Source organism: Homo sapiens, chromosome 11 (assembly GCF_000001405.40).
Source record: "Homo sapiens chromosome 11, GRCh38.p14 Primary Assembly".
NCBI classification, from domain to species: Eukaryota; Metazoa; Chordata; class Mammalia; order Primates; family Hominidae; genus Homo; species Homo sapiens.
Genome location: NC_000011.10, coordinates 10,849,441 through 10,858,119, shown reverse-complemented (window position 1 = coordinate 10,858,119; position 8,679 = coordinate 10,849,441). Strand labels below are relative to the sequence as shown.

Genomic DNA, 8,679 nt, shown 5'->3' with positions numbered 1-8,679 from the left:
GGCGGCGGCAGAGTCGCTCGTGAAGATTGTAGGGTTCGGGTGCTCTAGAGTGCTAAATTTATCTTCAGACCGGCGACCGCGCCAGCCGCGAATCGGATCTCTATGGAGATGGCCTAGGCGATATCCCTGAGCTGAGAGCATCACCCTGTCCCCGAATCCTTCTTTCCTCTCTGTTTTGTTTTTCATTCCCCTCCCTCTCTCCCCTCCCCCTCCAGTCCACGACGACTGGCTGTTGACCCTGTTCAGGCCTCGGTGAAGGTGAGAAGCAGAGCCGCCGCCGCGGCTAAGCGGTGCGCTCTGAAATGGCCGCTTCCTGGAACTGCCTAAGATGGCGGTCGCGGGCTCTGCTGTGGACCGCGGCGCTGCTGTGCAGCCCAGCCGCGGCAAAATCCGTTCTCTCCATCGCTGATGGAGATGAAATAGAGAGATGGTGTTGGGTGCTGAGACGTTTTCATGTGGTCGTTAGCGCAGGCGGCCGCCCGGGGACGCGAGAGAAGACCTGAGGCGAGGGTGGGCTGCGACTGGTAGGGAGCCCCCCAGTCGTGGCAATCTGTGGGCAGCGCGCACCTGTGACAGGGAGGAGCTGAGGGATAGTTGGCCCTGGCTGCACATCCAGGTGACCGTTTAAAAAAGCATTTAGGTGTTGGAAGGAGCATCTGTTCCCACCTTTTTGGCTGGCCTGCACTCAGATCCTGTCCTCCTGACCCTGAGGGTATTGTTCCCAGCCGGAACCGCCCGAAGATAGGGGAGAAAGGATTGTGATACTTGTCAGTTTAACCGGAAGGAGACTAAAGACGGAAGTTTTCCCCGCTCTTCAGGGAGTGGAAAGGAAACTTTACTCTCAAAGGAGTCCAGATTCTTTGTCCTCGAGAAATTCGGGGAAACACCTTCGAAGAGGTGGGGTTGAGGACCTTCTTTCTGAAAACAAAAGCTTCCTACTCTTCTGTGTCCTCTGGCAACGAGAGGGATCCTGATCTTTTACGTGAACCAGCAGCTCCACAGAGTTCTCCGTTGCAAAATCCAAAAGGAGACTGTGGAAGGAGAATCTGCTTTTTTGCTCCCAATAAGAAGCAGGGCTTTATGCTGTTGCTAGTATGAGACCCTCGACTTTCTGGCAGTTATAATCCATTGTTCATCCGTTTCGCTGCATAACCCAACTCCTAGTAACGAGATTTTTTAGTAGTTGGGGAATTAAAAGTATTCAGGAACACCCAAGTAATGGCTAGACACATGGGCTATGCAGTCAAACTTTTTGGGCTCTGAACTTGGTTTTTCACTTACAAGAGGTGTTAGCGAGATGTGTTAACCTGTGTCTGTTTATCTCTAAAGTGGGGTTATTAATAATCCTTGTGTCTTCATAGATGAGATAATCTATATGAGGGATTTAGCAGTAATTGGCATACAGTAAACAATCATCAGTCATTAGACATTGTTTACCTGAGGAGATTGGTCACTGGGGGGCTAAAAATGATTGTAGTGAAAGAACTGCTTCATGTAATAGTTCTATGTATAATTCCATTTTAGATTCAAGACCTAGTTTTAGAGACATTGATGAGGTTGTACTTTTAAAAATTAGGCTTAGTTTCAAGTTCTAGAAAGTGTGGTGGTGGTGTTGTTTTAACATGTTTCTATGAAGTCAGTAGGTGGGGGAACATCTCAAAGCATCTAAATTGCCAAGATATTGAACAGGATGAAAATGTTAGAATTTTTACTATGCTAGGCGTCTTCTCTTTCAGTCCAAGATCTGCATTGCAGTAAAGAATCATTTTCACTGCTTAGATCCAGAAAGAATAAACCCATCTTACGGGTTTATAGTTAGTTCTGCTTGTTACTGTATCTAATTTTAATTTTTCTCATTCTAGGCTTTTGGTTACTCCCCTTCCCACCCCATCCCTTAATTTTATTCTTTTGAAGAGTGCATTTCAAGCTGCCAAGGTGGAGAGAGGGATTACAGAAAGGAGAACACCTTATTTCAGGTATCTTATCCTCTACCCCTTAATAGGAGAACCATTTTGACTCAAGATCTAACATGAGAATACAAAACTTACTCTATAGCCAGGTTATAAAGTTTAAATCAAAAGTAGCTATATTTGGACAGACATAATTTGTATGCCTTGATTTATAGAGTTAATAGTATTCTTTAGCAATCCTTAGATTGCATTATCCTTTTAATTTTGATTTGTTTTATTATATGAGAAATAAACCTCTTAAATGAGAGTTTATTTTTTTTTTTTAGGTCCTGGTTAAGTCGTCACCTGTTGTATAAATAGAATGCAGAGTTATCTGTAAAAATATACATTACTTTCATTGAGTCTTAATTTGGATAATATAAACGTTTATATAATTTAAGTCCAGAGAAACAGTACCTAACTTTTGATATACAATTTATTCTTCATTGTTAACGCATAACATTTAGGATACAGTAGAATTATGTATCTCGCAAAACTTGGAACTGTGTGTGTGTTTAATTCACTTCTTCAGAATTGTTGCTAGCCCTGAAGGGACTTCAGATATATAATAGTATCAACAACTAATACATCTAATGACAGTAGGCATCAAAAGCTAAAAGAGATTTCACAATACTACATACCATGAGACAGGGCTGATAAATTATGGCCCATGCTGTCTGGTTTTGTACGTAAAGTTTTATTGGAACACACCTGTGTCCATTCTTTCATGTATTGTCTATGGCTGCTGTCATGTTACAACTACAGAGTTGAGTAGTTGCAACAGAGACTATATGGCCCTTGACCAAAAAAAGCCTGCCAACCCCTGCCATGGGACATATTCTTCAGGGTCCCTTTCTTAAAAATATGTATAACAACTCTTAATAATTTATTGGCTCAGTGATTCCCAAATTATGTTTTATAGAATATTAATATTCTCTAAGTTAATAAATGTTTTGAGAAAATGATTGATGCTAATATTGGTTTTTCTTTATGGTTGATTTTAATATGTTTATTTAAATATGAGATTAAGACTGCTAAACTCATTTCTATAGCTTTTATTTTTATGTGATAATCTACCTTTAAGAAAAGGTGTACCATACCTGAGAGCACCAGGAAGTCGCATGAGAGATCACCTGATACATGAACGTATGATGTTCCATCTGCGCATTGATGAATAGGCAGCATTTACAAATTAACTGATGTGTTGCTGTATATCATCTCTTTGATGATTGCTCCTCTTCTTTGTATCCTGTCTTATAATTTCAACACATTTGCGATACTCAATGTCTATTCTAAATTAACCATGTTTTGTACCACAAACTCATTGCCCATGGATCTGTTGCTGAAACAAGGAAGTCTTAAACAAGAAGTGGAATCTTTCTGTTATCAGATTGTGTCTGAATCAAATGATCAGAAGGTTGGAATATTACAAAGTGAAGATAAGCAGTTGCAACCTTCAGTTTCTAAAAAATCAGAAGGTGAGCTTTCCAGGGTCAAATTTATATCCAATTCCAACAAAATAACATTTAGTAAAAAACCAAAAAGAAGAAAATATGATGAAAGTTATTTGTCTTTTGGATTTACTTACTTCGGAAATAGAGATGCACCTCATGCTCAGTGTGTATTATGTAAGAAAATTTTATCAAATAGCTCTTTAGCCCCTAGTAAGCTTCGAAGACATTTGGAAACTAAACATGCTGCATATAAAGACAAAGACATAAGCTTTTTCAAGCAACATCTCGATTCACCTGAAAATAATAAACCCCCAACACCTAAAATTGTGAATACAGATAATGAAAGTGCTACAGAAGCATCATACAATGTAAGTTACCATATAGCGCTGAGTGGAGAGGCTCATACTATTGGAGAATTGCTTATCAAACCTTGTGCAAAAGATGTAGTGATGCGGATGTTTGATGAACAATATAGTAAAAAAATAGATGCAGTACAGCTATCAAACAGTACTGTTGCACGTCGAATTAAGGATCTAGCTGCTGACATTGAAGAAGAGCTTGTTTGTAGACTGAAAATTTGCGATGGGTTTTCACTGCAACTAGATGAATCAGCTGATGTTTCAGGACTTGCTGTGCTGCTTGTGTTTGTTCGTTATAGGTTTAATAAGTCTATTGAGGAAGACCTACTCCTGTGTGAATCTTTGCAAAGTAATGCTACCGGTGAAGAAATATTCAACTGTATCAACAGTTTTATGCAGAAACATGAAATTGAATGGGAAAAATGTGTTGATGTTTGTAGTGATGCTTCTAGGGCAGTGGATGGGAAAATTGCCGAAGCTGTCACCTTAATAAAATATGTGGCTCCCGAAAGCACCAGTAGTCACTGCCTATTATACAGACATGCACTGGCAGTTAAAATAATGCCTACATCTCTAAAAAATGTGCTAGACCAGGCAGTACAAATCATCAATTATATTAAAGCTCGACCACATCAATCCAGACTATTAAAAATTTTATGTGAGGAAATGGGTGCTCAGCACACAGCACTTCTTCTAAATACAGAGGTGAGGTGGCTTTCTCGAGGTAAAGTTCTTGTAAGACTTTTTGAACTTCGTCGTGAACTTTTGGTTTTCATGGATTCTGCTTTTCGACTATCTGATTGTTTAACAAATTCATCTTGGCTGCTAAGACTTGCATATCTTGCAGATATTTTTACTAAATTAAATGAAGTTAATTTGTCAATGCAAGGAAAAAATGTGACCGTTTTTACAGTATTTGATAAAATGTCGTCATTGTTAAGAAAATTGGAATTTTGGGCCTCATCTGTAGAAGAAGAAAACTTTGATTGTTTTCCTACACTCAGTGATTTTTTGACTGAAATTAATTCTACAGTTGATAAAGATATTTGCAGTGCCATTGTGCAGCACCTAAGGGGTTTGCGCGCTACTCTGTTAAAATACTTTCCTGTAACAAATGACAATAATGCTTGGGTTAGAAATCCATTTACAGTTACTGTTAAACCAGCTTCATTAGTAGCACGGGACTATGAGAGCCTGATTGATTTAACATCTGATTCTCAAGTGAAGCAAAATTTTAGTGAACTTTCACTAAATGATTTTTGGAGTAGCCTAATTCAGGAATACCCAAGCATTGCAAGGCGTGCAGTGCGTGTACTTCTTCCTTTTGCTACAATGCACCTGTGTGAAACGGGGTTTTCATATTACGCTGCAACAAAAACAAAATATAGGAAAAGACTTGATGCTGCACCTCATATGCGAATCCGACTTAGCAATATTACACCTAATATTAAGCGGATATGTGATAAAAAGACACAAAAACACTGTTCTCATTAAAATTGGAGGAGTTTGCATGTCTCATGATAACCAAATGTAAGATGAAAATAAAAGATGATTTACTTCATCTCTGGTATTTGGGGGATTTAAATAAAATGATTCCATTTTTTTATACTATTTAGATTTTAAGAAGGCTAAAGAATCAAACGTTTTAAACATATTGTGTTATTATTGGTATTTCTTTACATTGTAATTTTAAAGAGTTCCATGATCATAACTGGGAAATAATGATCCCCAAGATAAAGTCCCAGTCCCTTAACATATCTCTTCAGGATCTAATCCCTACCAATCTTTCCGTGTCTACTCTGCAGCTCTCCAATCCCATGGAACTTCTTGCCATTCCCTAAACATATCACACTGTTTTATCGTTTCAGGTCTCAAAAAGCGATTCTGTCCCCATCTTACTTTCTGGTAGGCTCCTATTTGCTTCAACACTTTGACTTGTAGGTACTTTCATTCTCTGTATCTTCCTATTTTGATGCTGTTTCACACTTGTATTTAATGTTTGTGTCTGTCTCAACTGTGAACTCCTTGATGGTCTCACGGTTCCCAATGTTTTCAGACTAAGCTCTTAGAGAGTCTTATTGAGTCTTATCCAAATCTGTGTCTCCATAATCTGGAAAAAGGCTTTACTAAATTAGATGCTCAGTAAAGGAAAAACATGTTGGTGAAAGTGAACCAACAAAAAATGGAATGGGGGATTTCCTACATTCATTGATTGGTATGGTAGCAGGTGTACACACTGCTACCCTTTGGGTTTTTTGGCTCACTTACTCTATTAACTAGAGTTCAGTGTGGCCATTATGCAGAGGTCATCGAGGAATGTCATAGTTTTATGATTCAGGCTGAACTATTGAGGGAGAGGGGATGAAGTGTGAAGAGTATTTTCAGATACTTTGTTTTTTTCTCAGTTCCTATATAGATTATTGTAAATTCCACATGCAGTATAAATTAATGAGACTTTACTGTAGTCAGAGATGCTTAGACCAGAAATCAGTTTGTTCTTATAATACTGTAAAAATTTCCTGACTGAATTTCCTGTCTCTGGGCTACTTTTCCTACATCACGTCATGCAACACAGTTCACCAACTCAGTGTTAAATATTTGTTACTCCTGTAGTCAAGAACTACTGTAGATAACCATTATTTAATCTCATTTATTGAAACTTCCATTTTAGGGAGTAAAGGTACCACCCCCCACCATTAAGGCAGAATGTGGTAAAATGACTAGGTTCAAGTACCTACTTTACTTTGTAATGTACGGTAATCTGAACTTGAACCTCAGTTGTTTCATCTATAAAATTACAATTACGCCTCCTTTGAAGGGTTGTTATCAAGATTAAATGTGAATGTATAAATATAAAGCTCCTAACAGTTGATGATCAGGAGTAGGTGTACAGCATATATTAGTTCTCTGCCATATCCAACTATGTTCCAGTTAAAGTTGAGTCTACACTTCACACTTCTAATCTGGATTTTTATTCTCTGGAGACTCAACAGTTTACTAGACCATGGGACATTTCCTGATCCAAGGCAACAAGATTACATACTTCTAGCCCAGGTTTTTCCTCCTTGTTGCCTTATTAAGCACTTATTTGTCTGTGAGGAACTTTATTTTATTTATTTATTTTTTGAGACAGAGTCTTGCTCTGTCACCCAGGCTGGATTACAGTGGCGCGATCTTGGCTCACTGCAACCTCTGCCTCCCAAGTTCAACCAATTCTCATGCCTCAGCCTCCGAAGTAGCTGGGATTACAAGTGTGCACCACCACCCCCAGCTAATTTTGTTTGTGCTGGAGTAAAGTGGCGTGATCTCACCTCACTGCAACTTCAGTCCCCACCCCCCGCCCGCCCCCCATCCCCCAGCGATTCTCCTGCCTCATCCTCCCGAGTAGCTGGAATTACAGGCACGTGCCACCACACCCAGCTAATTTTTGTATTTTTAGTAGAGACGGGGTTTCTGCATGTTGGCCAGGCTGGTCCCGAACTCTTGATCTCAGGTGATCCACCCGCCTCGGCCTCTCAAAGTGCTAAGATTGCAGGCATGAGCCACCACAGCTGGCCTAATTTTTGTATTTTTAGTAGAGACGGGGTTTCACCATGTTGGCCAGGCTGACCTTGAACTCCTGACCTCAGGTGATCCGCCCACCTAGGCCTCCCAAAGCACTGGGATTACCGATGTGAGCCACTGCGCCCAGCCTGTCAGGCACTTTAATAGTTGCTTTGTATTTATCTATAATCTTTACAACAATCTTATGGGATTCAGTCATTTTTGGACTTGACCTAGGTCATAGGTAATTAGCAGGATTTAGTTTAAAGTAAGTCTTTCCCAAATACAGAGCTTTTTCCCATCATTGCCTTCTGAACTTTTCTAAGACAAACAGTGACTTGGAAGTACAGCCTGAAACTGCCTACTAGAATCTGGACATTTCTTTGAAGTCTTGTGTTTACTTCTAAATTCACCGAAATTGGCTAATTTAAAATATGACTAATTTTCATGTAAAATATAGAGTAAATTGCTGTCAACTACTAATTCCTTAGAAGATGTATCATAATTTCTTATATATGCAATGCTTTTTATTTACTAGTCCCAGAATTATACCCTAGTTTGAGAAGGATGTGCAGTTCCTTAATATCTGTGTCCAGCATATACCTCAAGCCTGGTAACTAGACTCCTGCGATTGCTGAGTTCGAGCCCTTCATTAGATTATTTGTCCAAGATGTCAGCCTCTTAAAATATAAAACCATTCTTGTTTTCCAGTCCTTTTCCCCTAACCTCCTTGGAGACTAGATTCCTGCTCTTAAGTCCAAGTCCATTATCTGAGACCCTGCTGTCTGCTACTAGACCTTTTTAATGCTGACCGTACCCATTTTGGTTCTTGATGCCAGCTGTTCACCTCATCTGTAACGTATCAGGACTAAATTATGGATACCATGCACAGCTAGTGAGAATGGACTTTTAGTACGTGAAGGTGGGTCTGGTGGACAACAGACAAGTCGAGTTCCAGATAGCAACTAGTTCTAGATTACCCTAACCTAAATGTAGTTACCGTGACTGAATCCCAAAGAGAAGATTCTTTTCCTTTGTATTTAAACCCTACCTACCCTTCAGAATTGGCTTTTTTTTCTCTAAATAAAACCAAAGGAAACCAAGTAACAAGCACTGCCAGCCTCCCTTTCTTCCATACTTCCAAAGCCCTTTGGTTACCCTTCTGCCACTGTAATGTCCCTGAGACTGTAATAATGAAGCACTCTCTGGAGCTGGAGGGAAACCTCTGACAAACCCTTTCACATAAAAGAGAGAACAACTCTTAGAGGAAGAAATGAATGGCATTCCATTTAATAAATGGAAGAGCTATTTGGGGACTAAATTACATTCTCATGGCACCCTCAAATGATAGCTACTCTTCCAACTCATGCATAA

At 39.5% G+C, this 8,679-nt stretch overlaps 1 protein-coding gene across 2 annotated transcripts, besides 2 other annotated features; it reads left to right on the top strand.

Moving 5' to 3' along the window:
• Positions 22–401: an enhancer, noted in NCBI's record as "active region_4451". NCBI's record gives its function as "activates an Ori minimal core promoter by ATAC-STARR-seq in GM12878 lymphoblastoid cells {active_cell/tissue: GM12878}" and the evidence as "EXISTENCE:reporter gene assay evidence [ECO:0000049][PMID:35858748]".
• On the top strand, positions 67–5,414 carry ZBED5 (zinc finger BED-type containing 5). 2 transcript variants are annotated; one of them, NM_001143667.2, is made up of 3 exons: positions 67–258; positions 1,863–1,976; positions 3,034–5,414. In NM_001143667.2, the coding sequence occupies exon 3, from the start codon at positions 3,175–3,177 to the stop codon at positions 5,254–5,256; it is 2,082 nt and encodes a 693-aa protein (NP_001137139.1). In that variant the 5' UTR covers positions 67–258; positions 1,863–1,976; positions 3,034–3,174; the 3' UTR covers positions 5,257–5,414. The 2 variants fall into 2 exon arrangements, with proteins under 2 accessions (NP_001137139.1, NP_067034.2); NM_021211.4 differs by having other exon boundaries at positions 3,002–5,414.
• Positions 8,051–8,251: a silencer, noted in NCBI's record as "peak1197 fragment used in MPRA reporter construct". NCBI's record gives its function as "represses an SCP1 promoter by STARR-seq MPRAs in K562 erythroleukemia cells {active_cell/tissue: K562}" and the evidence as "EXISTENCE:reporter gene assay evidence [ECO:0000049][PMID:32103011]".